We start from the raw sequence: 19,999 nt of genomic DNA on the forward strand, positions 1-19,999 counted from the left end.
ACCGTGGTCACTGTCAGAAAACAGATCCATTTTTCCAGGCTCTCTTATGTCTAATGTTTTTACAATCGCCCACACCTCCTGGCACAGGTGGCAGCACTCTTAAAAATAGAAAAAGCAATATTTATGTCTCTAAATTCACAACAAAGGGTAATAACTGCCAATCTACCCCTGCACTGACAATAAAACCAATTCAGAAGACTTCTGATACTGTTATAGGGACAATCATTTTTAGAGTTGTACAGATGTATCCTTAATTTATATGTCTAATAATCAAAAAAAGAGACAACATAAATTTTAAAATTGTAGACAGTGCATATTTAGTGCTAAATATTTGTGGTAGAAAATATACCCCAAAAATTGGCTATTTCTATCCCCTTGGGAATTAAAACCAGAAATAATATGCTTTATTTTAACTAGGCTTCAATATCCTCGCATTATCAAATCATTAAAAATTTTCACAAATTTATTATAAGTCAATCTGCCGGGAGTGCAATACTGCGCTACATTAGAACCTCATAAAATACGTTTCATTAACTGATTCGACAAACATTCTTAAGCACATACTAGGCTGAATCTGATACTTCTCCTTCTGGACCAGAGATTTGTAATGCTTTGGGGCAAGCAATTGGCAGTTCTGTGCTTGCTCTCTGTACTATTTTGGGTTTTCCAGATTGCATGTCTTTCCCACCACTAACTAACAGGCAGTGAATTGGCGAGAATATTGTGTTTATTTAAAAAGCATTTGTTGCCAGGCCCAGTGGCTCACGCCTGTAATCCCAGCACTTTGGGAGGCCGAGGCGGGCGGATCGATTGAGGTTGGGAGTTTGAGATCAACCTGGCCAACATGGTGAAACCCCATCTCTACTAAAAATACAAAAATTGGCCAGGTGTGGTGGCATACACCTGCAATCCCAGCTACTCAGAAGGCTGAGGCAGGAGAATCATTTGAACCCGGGAGGCAGAGGTTGCAGTGAGCCAAGATTGCATCACTGCACTCCAGCCTGGGCAACAGAGCAAGACTCTGTCTAAAGGAAAAAAAAAAAAAAAAAAAAGTAAGAAGTATTTGTTTGGTAGATTAGGAGAAGTCCACTCAGCACACTGTATTAATCTCTAAAACTTAAATTAAAATGTAGAATTTAGTCAAGCCAAAACAGCAAAGGTATAATAAAAGTGTTAAAGACTATTAATATGAATTATAGTATATAATCATTAGTATTTTTAATTTAAATACATCTGTATCCTGAACAGAATATTTAAGTTTATATTCCAATTTAGAATTTTAAAATCACAATATTATGGTTTCCCTGTACACATTAATCCTGTATTATTACTAAGTTAATCTTCCTAATTATATCGCTTTCCTGATCAGAAATGTTTAATTCCTCAAAATCTATCAAATTAAGTCTAAATGTCTTATCCTTGGTTCTGTGTACTCCATACTATGACCCACCTACTCAGCCTTTTAGAGGGGAGACTATTTCACTCCTACCCTAAGCCCCAGGTAACCTGTTCTTGCCACAATTCATTCGCAGCCTGTAGGTCTTTGCACAGTAGCAGTAGCAATAGTTACAATTATAGATTAACTGCTATATATGCTGCTCTAAGTACTTTTAATTTTTCTTAACCTCATAACCTAATTCACAGTGAGAAAACTGAGGCACAGTTTAAGTTAAATAATTAGATCAAGAATACACAGCTAGTGACTATGCAAGCATTCAAACCCAAGCAACCCAGAGCCCGTGCTCTGAATCACTACACCACACGCATTAACAATTCCCCAGACAGGAACCCAAGTGTTTATCCAAGTGACAAGGACAGATTATAAATGTGTTATAGCCTTCTCTCAGACTATTTCAGAGATATGTCAAGCAATTAAACAAAAAGTATAATATCATAAAACTAACTTGTGTGTGTACCCTGTAGGATTATTCTCATTTTATGGGATACTTTATACATTTAAATGCAAGATGGTTGCTTTGGTATTACATCTCACCGTGAGGTTTCTTGGTAGGACGCTATTTGGAGTACGCTATGAAGACAAAGGGAAATGCCAAATAACTAAAAAGCAATTTAAGAAACAATAAAATGCCTCTATTAAAAAAAATGTTAAATAATGGTAATGTCATGCTTAATTTAAGCCAGCTAACAGGATTCTGCTATTTATTTATTTATTTATTTATTTATTTATTGAGATGGAGTCTTGCTGTGTTGCCCAGCAGAGTGCTGTGGCGTGATCTCAGCCCACTGTAACCTCTGCCTCCCGGTTTCCAGCGACTGTCCTGTCTCAGCCTCTCCAGTAGCTGGGATTACAGGCACCCACCACCATGCCCAGCTAATTTTTGTTTATTTTTACTAGAGAGGGGGTTTCACTATGTTGGCCAGGCTGGTCTCCAACTCCTGAACTCAGGTGATCCTCCTGCCTAGGCCTCCCAAAGTGCAGGGATTACAGGCGTGAGCCACCGTGACCAGCCAGGAAATGCCAAATAACATAAATAAGCAGCAATGTAAGAAACAGTAAAATGTCCCTATTTAAAAAATGTTACAAATAATGGTAATCTCATGCTTAACATTAAAGCCTGCTAAAAGGATTCTGCTACTATTTATTTATTTTATTTTTTGAGACAGGTGTCACTTTGTTGCCCAGGATGGAGTGCAGTGGCATTATCTCTGCTCACTGCAACCTTGGCCTCCTGGGTTTAAGTGATCCTCCAGCCCCAGTCACCCGAGTAGTTGGAATTACAGGTGCACGTCACCACACCTGGCTAATTTTTTTTTTTTATTTTTTGTAAACACAGGGTTTCACCATATTGGTCAGGCTGGTCTCAAATTCCTGGCCTCAAGCATTTGGGCCCCCTCAGCCTCCCAAAGTGTTGGGATAACCAGCGTGAGCCACCATGCTCCGCCTATAATTTATTTTACCCAAAATAAAATGACTCAAATATATTAGAGAATGAAATAGATTCTAAAATATCTCCACTTTGTATGGCTACCAATTAAAATATTCTCTTTGTATCCTTCAGTTTTTCATGACTGCTATCGTATTTCCCCTTATTTGAAACAAAGTTGTCTTTATGACTTATTTTTCTAATTAAGGCTAGATATTTTCTGTTATTAGGTTGAACCATACATTACCTTTTTCAACTACTTTTACCTACAAAAATGGACACTTCATATAAATGAATCTAAAAACTTGCTCAAAATTCATATTAAAAAGAGGAGACGCACTCAATGAAATTATAATTATTCCATTACTGTAATACTTTCCTGATAGAATACAAAATATAAACAGTTTATACCACTATCAAACTCCAAAGAAAAGTAATCATTCCCAAGAGAAAATATTCACAATACTACATTTAATTAGAAAATTAGAAAAACTGTATGGTACCAATTTCATTTACACATAAAACATCTAAAACTCTTTCAGACTTCAGTATTTTTATTTCTTTGTTCTCTCCATATGATGACTGTTTTCCTAATTTTCTAACTTAAATGTAGTGTTTCTGTAATTTTAAAAATATCTAAAAATAATTCAATCTTTGCTTAACTCTTTACCAAAAAATACTTAAGATATTAATTTACACATGCAATCTAAAGCAACTATCCCAAAATTTAAATGCCCTACTCCTTTTTGTTAACTCAGTAACAAAGCCCATGAAAAATAACACAATAATTTAATAAGCTATTTCTAAGAACACTGACGATTTTCTCCGTTGGCATAGATAAATAAATTTATTCTATATTATCAACTAAATAACCCTCATTAGCAGTTGGGTTTGGTTTCCTCATCATTACAAAATTATATGTACCACACTAACAAAGAGCAGACCAAAAAGCTAAAACGTAAGAGATTAATACAGAGAAACAGAAGATGACAGTCAGAAACAATCATGAAAGATAAGAAAGACACTTTTTAAAAAGCTTTATACCTCTCTACTACATAGGGAAAAAAAGTAAAAATATGTTTTCATATTTTAATGGACAAACAAAAATGTTGTAATTATCTTCTAGGTGACATCTTATTTTTAAAATTCTGATAAACAGAATCCAGATGTTCTGAAACTCTAATTTTACCTAAGTTAACTGCTAACTACATAGAACAGGCTTTGAGATGAATGTTAAGTTCTGGGACTTTGCTGATTACCCAGCTAAGCAAGCAATGTCACCCACAATGGTTCTCTTATTTATAGACCAAATACCCTAAAAAATATCAGGATAAAGGTTTGAGCTGAACAGACAAATGGACCATAAAGTAAACAGTTCAATTAGTCCATTGTGGTTTACCGCCCTCTGGCTGCTGTGGCAGGAGATATCACAGATAAAAAATGGCTGCCAAGAAAAACTAGCAAGGTGTCAAGCAAAAGTTGGCAGGAAATCCTTCAGGCAAATGTAAAAGCTTTAGAACAGAGCCTCGAACATACATTACAGTTAGTTTTACTCCTTCCTTTAAAAAAAAAAAACATTAAAAACATCAAGTAACAAAACATTTCAAACACGATCTGAAATTTTTCAGACACAGATTAACACAATATAGTTTGGAGATAATAAAAGATGGTTCTAAGAGACTAAGTCAAAAAGAGTTAATACCCTAACTAAAGATTAGAATTAGTCTTGCTTGAGAAAATCCCTTTGCATACTAAATAGAAACACTTAGATAAAAAGGTAAAAATTTTTACCAGAAATTCAAAGACAACTGATAAAAGTTCCTGCTCATAAAACTGTGGTAAATATATAAAGCAGCACAGAAAAATGAAACTCTTACATTAATTCAGTTTCCAGATATCAGATGCAATCTGAAGCTAAAAATCAGGCAACACCGGAGCCAATGTTTCCTGGAATCACCAAATTACATGAAAAACAGAAATAAAAGCAAAAGAAAATTTGCTACACCCAATTCAGACCAGATCCCATATATTCATCTTTCCTCAAAATACTATTCAATGTAATCTCACAATTTTGTCCAATTAGGCTCAAAACTAAATTTCTGTATCACTCTCCAATTTTCCACCAAAGAGTTCAGCTGGCAGTGAACCATAACAACCACAGTCCAAGGAAAAAAACAGTAACTGTTCAATTCACTGTCTTGTTAGTTACTCACAATTCACTATCATTTAAAAACAGTGGATCTTAGCCTGGTTTCCACCCCACCGCACCCAGGAGACACAATACTCTCATTTAACAGCAGCGGTTCACAAGGTTCTGATTCTCAGCATAACTGGAAAAGGACAAGAGTTAGGAAAAAAAAACAGGGATGGGAGGAAGAGGGGTGAGAATGTTCCTTTTGAGAGAGACATCCATGAAACACTTAAGATCGTTCTTTTAGACAAGTCTTAATAATCTGTTTGAAATTTATCAATGTTCAAAAAAATATGATGCAAATAATTTTTAAGAAAAAAACAGAAACCTTACCCTGCAGTTCATGATGTATTACACCCACTAGGTTGGGTTCATCTCCCCACCAGAATATCCATAACTCTTTGCAATCTGGTTTGACATCACGACGCCATACACAAAGCAGGTTAGCTTGCAGACAGCGGATGAAACTTAACAGAATTGGATCATCTTGGGCTGGGGCTGAAATTATGGGTCCACAGTCCCCATGCCCTCCAAAATTGTACCTACGCCATTTGATTCCCGTGAGTTCAGCCTGGAAAAAGACAAAAAATTGTAATCGTTTTCTCATTTTACTTACAGACCACTAAAAACAGTCTTCCATACAGAAAAGCAATTGTGCTAAAATAAATATTTACACGAAACTTCATATCATAAGATTCCTCCCAGTGAAGAATGTATGTCAATCTTCTCGAATTTTAAGGTGGGAGAAACTTTCTATCAAGATTTCTACATAGCTCTTTACATTAAATACTAAAATAAAACAAGCTGATAATCATTATTTCCTGTTGAATAATTTAATTTGTCTAAACACTTACTATAAAGTCTCTATGCAGAAAACTATTTTCTATGTTATCATTCAATATTCAACTCACAAATTATATTTAGAAATCAAGTAAGATTTTAAAAATAAGTTTGTATATATGAAATAATTTCTTTCAAATAATTTCTTCCCATCCACAAGCCACAGTTTAAGTCCTTTTTTAATTAGGGAAGCAGTTAGCATGAAGTACGAGAGTGTTTCATCATGAATGCCAAAAGTCTATTTAGGTAGAAGCAATTAAGAAAACTGATACAAAGTTATCAGCAATTTATTCATGTTTTTTAACATGTAGCAAACAGAAAAGCTTTGCTTCTATAACAATTCCCTAATGTAGTTTGGTATTTTATTTTTTACACACATTGTAAAACATGAGAACTTGCAACCAGCAGAGAACAAATACTGTATCTTTGATCCATTACATACGTTTATATTTCAAGATGTCTTAAATCTTAAGTTAAGAGCTAAACTTCAAAGAGGTTTCAACACAAGCGAAAGCTAAATTTCTTAAAGTTATAAACTACAGCTATATATTGAAAACTAATAGTAAAACAGATTCATAATTTAATTCTGTACCAAACAGCCCAGGTGGCCCTTGCATTGAATCCTTACTCACGCATCTCCTTCCCCACAAGGTCAGTTATTTTTGTTAGCAAGTTGTTTGCAAAAATAACATGTACCACTAGGTAGAAAACAGCCATATCTTCTACTAACATAATTGAAACATATTAAAAGTGCTAAAGCAATCAATCACTATAATGACCACATTTAAGAAAAAGAAAAATCACCTTTCATTTAATCCAAATTAAAAAGGTTTTGCTTCAGGCTGAGCACGGTGGTTCACGCCTGTAATCCCAGCACTTTGGGAGGCCTAGGCGGGCAGATCATGAGGTCAGGAGTTCGAGACCAGCCTGACCAACATGCTGAAACCCCGTCTCCACTAAAAATACCAAAATTAGCCGGGCGTGGTGGCGTGTGCCTGTAATCTCAGCTACTCAGGAGGCTGAGGCACAAGAATTGCTTGAACTTGGAAGGCGGAGGTTGCAGTGAGCCGAGATCGTGCCACGGCACTCCAGCCTGAGTGACATGCCACAGCACTCCAGCCAGGGTGACAGAGTGAGACTCTGTTTCAAAAAACAAAAACAAACAAACAACAAAAAAAAAGGTTTTGCTTCAAAAAAGTTACAAAGATAATATACAAACTAAAAATATCTAAAAATCAGTAACTTATATTTTACGCTGAGATACGCAAATCTAAATTTTTAATGAATATGTTTAGTAAAAAGCTGGCACTGGCATCATTTAGGGTTTCCCTATATGTTACTTGGTTTCCTCTAAATATAAAAGCACTACATGGCCAATATAAAAAGTTCAGAAGTAATACACCATAATCACATTATAATAATCACTAGCATCCTACTGTATATGTCCTTCCTCTTTTTCTGTACATATACTTTTTAAAGTTGGAACCATATTGCATGATTTATATTTTTCACTTATTTTTATATATTACTAATTATTCTTCAAAATACACTTTTAATCTTTGCATAATATTCTATTCATTGGAAAAAATATAATTTAGCCATCCCATACCAACTGGACAATCTTCCATTTTATTTCCACTACTGTAATTACTATAATTGGTTAACATCCTTGAACACTGTTATTTTCCTGATTATTTCCTTTAAAGAGATTGCTTGATACTGAATTACCAAAGAATATATCAAGACTCATGATGAGTGCTACCACGTTACTGTTCAATTAATAGTCTCCCCAATACAAATAGCCACCTCCCAAATTGCATATCTTTTAAAATATCGGCCAATTGAATAGAACGGTATGTACTTGTATTAATACATAGTCCTTGTTCTGCTAGGAGGAAATCAGTATGCGGTATCACATCTTTGATCAGATGGGGCCACCATTCCTGGGTTTGAATCCCAGCTCTGCACTAACTCATTGGTTAAATGAGTCAGTATACATATGAAGCATTTATAAAAGACAGTGTCTGGGACATAGCAAAAACTGTAAATGATATTTTCATTATACCACTAGTAGTAGTACTATTTCTTTCACTTTGAGTTGTCTGTTCATACCCTTTGTCCATTTTTCTATCTTACAAGTTCCTTTTTTTTTTTCTGAGATGGAGCCTCGCTCTGTCACCCAGGTTGGAGTGCAGCAGTGCAACACTGGCCTCCCAGGTTCAGGCAATTCTCATGCCTCAGCCTCCTGAGTAGCTGGGACTACATGCGTGCACCACCACACCTGGCTAATTTTTGTATTTTTAGTAGAAACGGGGTTTCATCATGCTGGCCAGGCTGGTCTCAAACTCCTAACCTCAAGCGGTCCACCCACCTCGGCCTCCCAAAGTGCTGGGATTATACAGGTATGAGCCACTGCGCCTGGCCAAGTTCCTTTGTTTCTTCAAATAAAAGCAATGTGTATGTTTTAATCAGAAACCCTGACATCAATCTATAAACATCAAAGAAGGAAACAAAAATAAAAAGAAGTTGAAATCCAAAAAGGTAAGCAGAAGATTTATTTTATTTTTTTTTTTTTGGAGACGGAGTCTCGCCCTGTCACCCAGGCTGCAGTGCAGTGGCGCGATCTCGGCTCACAGCAAGTTCCGCCTCCTGGGTTCACACCATTCTCCTGCCTCAGCCTCCCGAGTAGCTGGGACTGACTACAGGCGCCCGCCACCGCGCCCGGCTAATTTTTTGTATTTTTAGTAGAGACGGGGGGGTTTCACTGTGGTCTCGATCTCCTGACCTCGTGACCCGCCCACCTCCGCCTCCCAAAGTGCTGGGATTACAGGCGCGAGCCACCACGCCCGGACATCAAGGTGTATGTTTTAATCAGAAACCCTAACATCAATCTTTAAACATCAAAGAAGGAAACAAAAATAAAAAGAAGTTGAAATCCAAAAAGGTAAGCAGAAGACTAACTTCTTTTATCACCTAAGCTAAAGAAAGTATTCTGTGCCTAAGAGCCTTGTGGATGAGGGAAGAGAAAGAAGGTAATAAAAACACACCAATAGGCCAGGCGCAGTGGCTCACGCCTGTAATCCCAGCATTTTGGGAGGCAGAGGCGGGCGGATCACAAGGTCAAAAGATGGAGACCATCCTGGCCAACATGGTGAAATCCCATCTCTACTAAAAATACAAAAATTAGCGGGGCGTGGTGGTGCACCTGTAATCCCAGCTACTTGGGAGGCTGAAGCAGGAGAATCGCTTGAACCCGGGAGGCAGAGGTTGTAGTGAGCCGAAATTGAGCCACTGCACTCCAGCCTGGCAACACAATGAGGCTCCGTCTCTTTAAAAAAAAAACAAAAAACAAAAAAACAAAAAAAAAACACACACACACACACACACAATAAATATGAATCACTAATAACATCTAATAACATTAACCTTATTTAAAGTGTTAGAAAATTAATATCAGAGCTTTAAACATCAGATGAGTCAGTCCCCATGAAAATCTATGCACGGTAATTTACTCACTACAACACTTTCACCTGTAATATCCGGCAGTAGAGCAGACAAAATATTTGGCATTGTTTCAGGAGAATGGTTTCCTAATCCTAGTACATCCACTAACTTCCTATCAGTACATCTATGCTCTCAGTGGCAAAGGGAAGCTGCTACCACCTAATCTGTTTTTTACAAAGTTGTTCTAGCAAGTGATATCTTTCTTACAAATGCAAGTGACACAACAGCAACGCTACAAACTTAAACACCTGGTAACTAATTCAGGTAAAACAGCTCCTTTAAAGTTAAAAACTAAATATCATTATATTGGTCTTCATTGAAAAATGTTACAATGAAACACTAATCAAGCCTAAAAGAGATAACTAAGTATAAAATGGGTGTTCGAAGATTTAGCTTTAAATTTTGAGTTAATGTTTGGTAAGAGAAAAGACAGCTTAATGATACTGAAATAGTTTGTCCAAGAAAAAAAATTCCCATCGTGGATGTTTATTCAATTAAGAGTAAAATGTCTTCATAGACCATGATCATATTTATAGTTTAAAAATTAAGTGCACTCCAAGTTCTTTTGTCTTTTTTTTTTTTTTTTTTTTTGAGATGGAGTCTTGCTCTGTTGCCCAGGCTGGAGTGAAGTGGTATGATCTTGGCAACCTCCCCCTCCCAGGTGCAAGCCATTCTCCTGCCTCAGCCTCCCAAGTAGGTGGGATTACAGGTGCCCGCCACCACACCCAGCTAATTTTTCTATTTTTAGTAGAGACAGGGTTTCACCATGTTGGCCAGGCTGGGCTCGAACTCCTGACCTCAGGTGATACGCTTGCCTTGGCCTCCCAAAGTGCTGGGATTACAGGCGTGAGCCATTGTGCCCAGCCATACTGTCTCAATTTCTGACTAACGTTTATCTCTACAACACAAAATTCTTTACCTAATGATTTCAAAATTTTAAAGCAAACCTTTAAAATAATTATAGATTCAAAATTATCCCCAAACACAATTATTTCTCACTGTCAAAAAGACAATCCTTAATTAAATCTAAGTTTTAAACTACATGGTTTCTAAAATATAGAACCAAAACGATGAAATTAAAATATACAAAGAAGGAAACCTATATGCACATTATGTATAATAACCACCAACATCATTATTTACCAAGCATCTACTTACTACCAGGCACCATACTAGAGTTTTCATATATTATTTCTAATACCGAGCACCATACTAGTGACTTCATATATAATTTATAAACTTCACAACAGACAGCTAAAGAAATTAGGACTCAGAAAGGTTGAATAATTCTCCCAGAGCCACACAGGTAGCAAATGGCAGATCCCAAATATAACTAGATTTAAGCTGTAACTGAATTTAAAGTATAAATTCTTTCCATTCTGCCATGCTGCTTCATAAGGCAAATGGTAAAAATTAGCCCTAGAGGATTATAAAATAGTACAAAGAAACTGTCATCAACTCAATTTAGCAATGACTAGAGCTCATGGCCATACTTTCTAATTTAAGAAAGTTCATAAATCTTTCTTTAGTCTTCCTGAGGTATTAAGAAAACTGGTATAAGAGTGCCCACGTATCATCCCATGAATAGACTTTTATTTCACTCAGATAATTATATGCCTTCTTTTACATGTTATCACTATAAGATGGTATCTACATAAACTAATTCTTAGATAATATGTACAACGAACCAACAAAATCACTATTCTGATAGCAAGACAGGCTGGAAGAAAATCTGCTCAGCAATGGCTGGCATGTGGTATAGGGGTAGTCAGGGTTCTCAGAAAATTGAACTTAACCCATTTATGCAGGAGGATGCAAATTTTTTTGTGAAAAATCAGACCTTGGCAATGACCTTGAGCAGTAGGATATAAATAACTCCCACAAGTTTAGTGTTCCAATAATGGAACATTAGGCATAAATGGGTTAAGTGGCAGATACTCCCCTGGCCTAAACAAACAGCTACTACAGTCAGTTCCAAACAGTTCTAATTAAATAGATTACAACAAAACAGGGATAAATGCACTTCCTAACTGACATGAATGTGATTCAAAGAAAATTTATATTGATTCCTAGTGTCCTATTCTTCACATACAATATACAGGAAATGAGATTATTTATTTGCAGTGACCCACAGCAACTAGATCCCTTGTGACCAACAGCACATACTTGCAATATGGCTCCTCAGAGTTAAAACCACATTCAGTGGTCAAGGAACACAGTAAAATCAAGAGACGTTGATTAGAATGAACCCATGGTGTAGTATCATGGAAAGAACACTGGCTGGAAATTAGGAGGTCTAGGTCCTAAGGCCTGGTTTTTCAACCATTTACCTATGTGATGTTAGGAAATCCACTGTACCTCAAGGCACCTCAGATTCAGGACCTATAAAGTGATAGGGTTGACCTAGATACTATAAATCAGTTCAAGTCTCCTGGCCCAGGCTAATTACATCCCACTCATAAAAGCAACTTGTAAATGAGATGGAACCCTTATTACCCATCAAGAACAGAAAAGCTGCCAGAAGATAGTCAACATTTCAGGAAACTATTGAAAGAGTCCTCAGAAGTACAAACCAATTAGTTTAACGTATCCATCCTGGGCAGGATTCTAGGCTGGTGTATAGAAAAGGCAGCTGTGATCATTTGAGGCTGACAAGCATGCATTAGGAAATTCCAAGTCGGCCTCACCTCACTTCCTCCAATGATAGGGTTACCACTGCAGTAGAGTAGGTTAATACAGTAAACATATTAAGTCACCTCTCAACTCAGAGGAAGGAAAAAAGTCACATGTAATAGAAAACTTCTGTTAAAACATAACTAATCAACTCCCTGTAAAGACAGCAAAATAAACATACACATCTGCTTTTGCTCTCTCCTAAACCCCTGTAAGACATCAAGAAAAACATTTGTTTCATTGTTTTATTTCATTAAATTATATAATTACAACGGCAGGTGGAACAAGAGAGGATATAGCATCAAAATTTTGAAGGCTAAGAAGCAGATGCTCTGATAAGGAGATTTACAATACGTAAGAAAACTGAATCCTAAACATGAAGAAAGAGATACAACCCAATTGACACAGAATCCCCTCAGCCTCAGGAATTAAATACAGGTATTTTGGAAGTAGGGTTGAAAGGCAGAGAGGAGATTAAATAAGAACAACTGGTTAAAAGCCTGCTTAAAAGGCGCTCAGCTGGGTGCAGTGGCTCACGCCTGTAATTCCAACACTTTGGCAGGCCCACAGCAGAAGGATCACTTGAACTCAGAAGTTCTAGACCAGCCTAAGCAACATAGTGAGACCTCAACTCTACAAAAAATTAAAAAATAAGCCAAGCATGGCGCTGCTTGCCTGTAGTCCCAGCTACTAGGGACGCTAAAGTGAGCGGGTCTCTTGAGCCTGGGAGGCTGAGGCTGCAGTGAGCTGTGATCACACCACTGTACTCCAGCCTGGGCAACAGAGTGAGACCCAATCACAAAATAAAATTAAAAGAAAAGAAAATAAAATAAGAAGGCACTCAGATGCCCAGGTACCTTCTCTACTGCACAAAGCTGAACTACTGTCCCTTCTTCACCCCAGCAAATAAATGCAAATGTATTCTCTGGAGACAGTAAACAGAGGGTACCTGGACTGCAGGACACAGGCAAACTGAAGGCACGGAACCAGAGTGAAAACAGGGCATTTGGTGAAATATATAGAATGAAGGCCAAGGACCACCCCCTCCCTACCACTGCCCTCTAAGCACCCAGAAAACTAGCAGCCAGTCTTCATCCCTCAGAAAGGAATTTGGAAAAGTCTTCTCTGAGAAATCTTAGCTCCACAGAAAAGACCTCAAGATACTGAGATCAGAGAGAGGTTCCCCAACTAAAGAGCCCACCCAGATCAGTGAGGCGCACAGTTAAGCAAATGTCGGTCACATGCTCAGAAATTCCAAGCAGATTCTTAGTCCACCATTCCTAAACATGAACATACAACCAAGAATTGCTAAATAATTAAGGAAAACCACTGAGGAATTACAGAAACAAAAACAAATGAAAAAGCAGCTAGAAGGGAAGACAACATTGGGAGAAGAAAACTTTAAAAACACCAAGAATATTCTCAACAAAATAAAATGGTGCAACCATTTAAAAACAACAGGATGCTATTTCAGGAGAGAATTTTTTAAAAGCTCTTGGAAATTTTTAAATAATGATTCCAGAAATGATAAAACTTAGTAAAATGTTTAGAAGATAAAGTTTAGGAAATCTCCCAGAAAGTGAAACAAATAAACAAAAATGGAAAATGGGGGAAAGCTGAAAATCCAAATACGAGGAAGCTGAAATCCAAATACAAGAGCTTTCAGAAAGAGAAAATACAGAAAATAAAGAGGAAATGACCAACAAAACAATTCATAACAATTTCCCAGAAAAACAGAATGTGAATTTCTAGATTGAAAGAGCTCTCTGAGTGCTCAGAACAATGGATTAAGAAAGACTCGCGGAAGGCATATCACTGTAAACTTTCAGCACACTGCAGACTAAGAGAAAATCCTCCAAGTTTCCATATAATAAAAAGAGGTCACATATCCAAAATCAGGATTTCTAACTGCTCAACAGCAATACCACAAGCAAGAAGGCAAAGGTGCAATAACTCCAAAATGCTAAAGAATTATTTCCAAACTAAATATTAAATGGCTATGCCAGCCTAAACTTTCTATCAAATATGTGAGAATAAACGCATTTTTAGACATGCAAAAAAAAAAAAAAAGCACCCTTTCTCAGGAAGCTACTGGGTGTGTACTTACCAAAAGGAGGGAATACACCAAGAAGTCTGAAGATTCAGGAAACAGACCTGAGAGGGAATAAAATAAATCCCTAAAATCATAACGAATGATGACTCCAGGATGCCAACTATACACCAGCGCAGAGGGCAACCAATCCAGATTATGACAGGTCCGTAAAGACTTCTTCAGGAAGGTGAAACTAATAAAACACCTGATACATCTGAGAGTCTTAAAGGGGTTTCATACAATAGGCAAAAACTGTGGGGATGAGTTAAGTTTTAGAAAAGTAAGCAGGCTGGGCCCTGTGGCTCATGTCTGTAATGCCAGCACTTTAGGAGGCCAAGGCAGAAGGACGACTTGACCTATTTGAGACCAGCCTGGGCAAGACAGCAAGACCTTGTCTCTATATACAGACTGACAGACACAGCTGAAGCATTGTGGCACACATATGTAGTCCCAGCTACTCAGGAGGCTCAAGCAGAAGGATCACCTGAGCTAAGGAGTTAGAGGTGGTGGCGGGCTGGGGAGGGAGGTGGGGAAGGGAGGGACAGGAGGGGAGGGGAGGGAGGTGGGGAGGGGAAGGGAGCGAGGTGTGGAGGGGAGGGAGAGGAGGGAGGTGGGGAGGTGGGGAGAGGAGGGGAGGGAGGTGGGGAGGTGGGGAGGCGGGAAGAAGAGGGGAGTGGGGAGAGGAGGGGAGGGAAGGAAGGGAGGGAGGGAGAGAGGAAATTTTTAAAAGGGCATCTGCTTTGTAGGAGGCAGAAAGAATGAGTTAAACCCTCCTCTTCGATAGTGGAAGATATAGAATTGAAAAATCTAAAAGTAACTATGACCTCAGTATTTAGAAACATTTAAGTAAGAACCAAGATAATCAACAAAAGAGGGTGAGTGTTTGCTTCTAAAGAAGGTAAAATAGGGGCAGGAGCAGAATACTGTTCTTATAAACCTTGTAGACCTATCTGATTCTTTAATTGAATTCTGTAAGAGTATATAGCTCTGCTTTAAAAAAAAAAAGGAAATTTAAACAAAATTAATCAAAATGGGGTAATAGAATGTAAAGCTACTAATATTGAGAACTCACTTATACTACTTTATAGACTTATTCTAGACAAATTCCTAAACTGAAGAACAATATCCCATAAATTGTGCTGCAAAAGCCAAAAGGTTATTTAACCATGTGTTAAAATAACGTGTTGTTGTTGACTGTTTCTTTTCTCCATTTTAGACTATTAAAACCCAGCTGGACAGAGACATCTTTCTAGCTGCATGCTCCATCCCATCTGGCTCTGCTCAAATTCTTCTCAGCCATAGCTATGTTGCTGGCCAAGGATTCCCTGTGTAGATGGGCTGCTGACGAGACACTGGGCCTCCCATCTGACTGGTTATTTCCATGTTATGAGAAATACAATGTGGTATTCCTCCATACAATGAGGTCATATATAAAAGATGCTAACGTATATATATATACACACACATATGCATATGTGCTGATTCATAAATGTTTTCCTCAAGTGTCATTTTCTTTTCACTGCTCAGTTTACCAACATTAACTAAAAAGTATAAAGATTTTTTAAAAGTTGGTTTATAGCGTAAGTATAAGGGCTCAGAGGTTTTATTTGACAATAAGTTTACTACAATTAAACAATGTGAAGTAGATATTTAAAAGTAGCTGCCATCTTAAGCTACATTAATAAAGGTAAGAAATCTTGATCCTATTCAACAGATCTAAATTATCAGTCATTATTCAGTACTGCTTTCAGCTCCTAGCTCCATACTTTAAGAATATAGGTAAAATGCAACAAATAAAGAGATGAAAGACTAGGCTGGTGAGGAAATCTAAACATGTCATATGGCTAGAGGCTATCTAGCCGCACATTCAATCCTTTCAAGCAAATTAACACGGCAACAAGAATAAAATAGAAGAATAAAGCCATGTGATAAAAATAACACAGCTGAATGAACTTAATACATAGTTAAAATGATTCTGAAGTTATTTAGTCTTCTGTTATATGGAAGGCTGATATGTAGAAGATTAATTACATTTGCTCAGCACAGTCCCAAGTGGTATCAACAGAACCAAATGGAAAAACTGATGATTAAAGCAACAACAACAGTGAGAGCTCCCTCTAGAAATAAATCCCTGACTGAGAGTTAATCATAGATATGGGGGGTTAAGGAGAAGCTGGTCAATACTAGATTAGGACACTGTAGAGTGGCTTCAAATATCAAAGGGCTAATTGAACAATATGACTTAAAGGGTTCCTTTCACACCTGAAATAAGAGTCTCAAGGATTCCATCCAACAATAAGATTTCATAATTCTAATATCATTTCTATTTCAGTCAACTAACTCAAGGGCTAGCAAACTGTGGTCTGGGGGCTAACCACCTGTTTTTGTAAATAAAGTTTTATCAGTACACAACTGTCCCATTTATTTGCATATTGTCTGTGGCTGCTTTCAAACTACAACCACAGAGTTGCAAGTGGGGCCACATGGCCCAGAGCCTGAAACAATTACTCTGGTTCTATAAGAAAAAGTCTGCTGATACCTGAGCTAGGATAACATACACAGACAAATGTGACATTTAAAATATAAATAAGCACCAAATTGTTCTCCAACTATAAACAACCAGAAAACTGGACAGAATATATAAAATTACTGTTTTCAGACACTAGACAACAGGGAGTACAGAGCTAGACTCCCTGAGAGAAGGCATACAAATGAGGTGGGCCCTACAAAGGCCAAGACAGCTGGAATTTGTGGAGACAGATCACCAGAAAGAATATTCAGGAAAAAAGCTCCAAAGATCTGATAGAGGCTCTTTTGAAACTGTTCCTAAGTACTAGGCTGCACATTCAAACAGTAAAATTCAACAAGGTCAGGCAGAGAACTACTGGGAGCTATCACTCCAAGAGTTCACCTAAAGCTGGGAGGCAGTCAAGTTCTGAACAGCCAGAGAGAAAAAACACTGTTAAACACCTTGGGCACTGAATAATGCCCATAAAATGACCATACCTCATAAGGAGGAAACCAGTGCTAGCATAAAGTCTATTCTAACCCAAGCTAATAATCAAGCCTCAGAAAAAAAGTATGCTAATAATAATAGGCTGATCTTATTAACTGCCAGTAACTTAACTACCAGCCAATACAAAATTCAACTCTTTAAAGGAAGGAAATAAAATCCAGACTTTCAACAACACTCACAATGTCCAGCAACCAATAAAAAATACCAGACATTCAAAAAGTAGAAAAATGGGACTCATGACTGTAAGAAAAGTCACTTAACAGAAACAGACCCAGAAATGAAAGTAATGATGAAATTAACAGACAAGCCAATTAAAGCAGCTATTATAAATATGGTCAAGAATTTAAAGAAAAACACAAACATAAGGACAGAAATGGGGGATTTTTTTAACTAAGTAAAATTTCCACAGCTCAAATATGCAAAATATAAAATGAAAAATTCGCTGTGGGTTTAACAGCAGATTAAGTACCTACCCAAAAAAAAAAAAAAAAAAAAAAAAAAGTCAGGGCTTTAAAACATACGATATTAACTATCCAAGCTGAAAAACAAATAATTTGTAAAACAAAACATAATAAACAAGCCAAAGTGACTTCTGCAGTCAGCACAGTATCAGGCAATCTAACATACACGCCATTAACGTCTCAGAATGTAGGAGAGAAGGGGGACAAAAATAATTTCAGAATAAGGACCACACTGTCTCCAAGTTTCATGAAATCAATAAACCTATGATCTAAAGAGTTCAGTGAACCCTAATGCAGCATAAACTAAAAAAAAAAAAAAAAAAAAAAAACACACCAAAATACATCAAAATAAAATTTGTAAAAACCAGTGATAAAAAGGAAAATATTACAAGTCGGCAGAGGAAAAAAAGATACATTACATAAGAAAAAACAAAGATAATATTAACTACAGACTTCTCATCTGAAAATATGCAGGCCAAAAACAATGGAAAAATATGCTCAAAGAAAAAAACAGTTCCCAAATCTAGACTTTTAGATCAAAGACGAATAGCCCTCAAAAATTAAGGTAAAATACAGACTTATTTTTAGATGAACAGAAGCCAACAGACCTGCAGTAAAATAAATGTAACTAGAATAATTTTTTTTTTTATTTCTTCAGGTACGAGGAACACGACACAAGATAGAAACCTGGATCTACACAAAAGAAGAACAATTACCAGGAATAGGTAACATATAAATAAATAAAAAATACTTTTTTTCTCGGCCGGGCATGGTGGCTCACACCTGTAATCCCAGCACTTCAGAAGGCTGAGGCAGGTGGATCACCTGAGGTCAGGAGTTCGAGACCAGCCTGACCAATATGGTGAAACCCCGTCTCTACTAAAAATACAAAAAAAAAAAAAAAAAATTAGCCGGGAGTGGTGGCACGCTCCTGTAGTCCCAGCTACTCAGGAAGCTGAGGCAGAAGAATCGCTTGAACCCAGGAGGCAGAGGTTGCAGTGAGCTGAGATCGCACCACTGCACTCCAGCCTGAGTGACAGAGCGAGACTCCTCCTCAAAAAAAAAAAAAAAAAAAAAAATTTGTTTTCTCATCTTTAAATTTCTTTAAAGGCTTATTAACTGTTTACAGCAAAAATGATAATGCCTTGTGGACTACATGTCAGATATAGAAAGAAGAAAAAAAGTATGACAACAATAGCACAAAGGCCAGAAGGAGAAAATGGGAGGTTTTTACATTATAAATAAAGAAGTTTAATATTATTTGAAGGTAAGCTGTGGTAAGTAAAAGATGCACATTATAAACCCTTGATCAATCCCTAAAAAGTAAAGGAAAGAGGTATATCTAATAAGCCAATTATTGGATAAATAATAAATGGAGCCATAAAAAATACTCAAAATAATCCAAAGTAGGTTTAAAAAAAAAAAAGGCAGAGGATGAAAGGAACTAAGAACAGATGGGACCAATAGGGAGGAAAACAAAAACAAAAACAAGACAGTGTACTTAAACCCAAGTAAATCAACATAATTATATTAAATATAAATTCTCTAAATCTTACAATTAGAAGGCAGAGATTCTCATCATGGATCCTTTTTTTTTTTTTTTTTTTTTTTTTTGTATTTTACTAGAGATGGGGTTTCACTGTGTTAGCCACGATGGTCTCGATCTCCTGACCTCGTGATCCACCCGCCTCGGTCTCCCAAAGTGCTGGGATTACAGGCGTGAGGGATCCTTTTTTTTTTTAAAGTAAGGCCCAACTGGCCAGACGAGGTGGCTCACGCCTGTAATCCCAGCACTTTGGGAGGCCGAGATGGGCATATCACGAGGTCAGGAGATCGAGACCATCCTGGCTAACACAGTGAAACTCCGTCTCTACTAAAAAAAATATAAAACATTAGCCAGCATGGTGGCAGGCGCCCATAGTCCCAGCTACTCGGGAGGCTGAGGCAGGAGAATGGCGTGAACCCAGGAGGCGGAGCTTGCAGCGAGCCAAGATCGCGCCACAGCACTCCAGCCTGAGAGACAGAGCAAGACTCTGTCTCAAAAAAAAAAAAGGAAGACCCAACTACATGTTACCTACAAGAAATGCACCTTACATATAGAAAGACATATTTACGTTGAGAGTGAAATGACAGAAAAAAGATATACTGTGCAAATTATGAGAGAGCTAAAGGGGCAACATTAATATCAAAGTTGACACCAAGAGAAGTACTATTACTAGGAATAAGGAAAAAAAACTGTAATGATAAAAATGTCAATTCTTCAAGAAAACATAAAAAAATCTAAAATGTCTAGGCACCTAATAACAGAGCTTCAAAATATATAAAGGAAAAACATCT

At 37.2% G+C, this 19,999-nt stretch overlaps 1 protein-coding gene across 6 annotated transcripts in view, besides 2 other annotated features; it reads right to left on the reverse strand.

The window, feature by feature from the left end:
- MED13L (mediator complex subunit 13L) overlaps positions 1-19,999 on the reverse strand; it is a 319,118-nt gene that overhangs the window by 273,483 nt on the left and 25,636 nt on the right. For 4 of the 6 annotated variants that reach the window (XM_017019090.2, NM_015335.5, XM_047428607.1 and 1 more), the window contains exon 2: positions 5,410-5,647. The exons of 1 other annotated variant lie outside the window; for it this stretch is intronic. In XM_017019090.2, the coding sequence (XP_016874579.1) occupies positions 5,410-5,647 (238 nt within the window). Of the gene's footprint in view, positions 1-5,409; positions 5,648-14,200; positions 17,967-19,999 lie in introns of those variants that run through there. One more of the 6 variants, XM_047428609.1, reaches the window with a different exon arrangement.
- Positions 5,117-5,261: an enhancer, noted in NCBI's record as "145 bp 12:116675052 oligo used in MPRA reporter constructs". NCBI's record gives its function as "activates a minimal TATA-containing promoter with higher activity for the rs61935859 G allele by MPRAs in C283T melanocytes and UACC903 melanoma cells {active_cell/tissue: C283T | UACC903}" and the evidence as "EXISTENCE:reporter gene assay evidence [ECO:0000049][PMID:36423637]".
- Position 5,189: a transcriptional cis regulatory region, noted in NCBI's record as "rs61935859 or 12:116675052 MPRA-significant variant associated with a GWAS melanoma risk locus at 12q24.21". NCBI's record gives its function as "allelic transcriptional activity with higher activity for the G allele by MPRAs in C283T melanocytes and UACC903 melanoma cells {active_cell/tissue: C283T | UACC903}" and the evidence as "EXISTENCE:reporter gene assay evidence [ECO:0000049][PMID:36423637]".

Source organism: Homo sapiens, chromosome 12, assembly GCF_000001405.40.
Source record: "Homo sapiens chromosome 12, GRCh38.p14 Primary Assembly".
NCBI classification, from domain to species: Eukaryota; Metazoa; Chordata; class Mammalia; order Primates; family Hominidae; genus Homo; species Homo sapiens.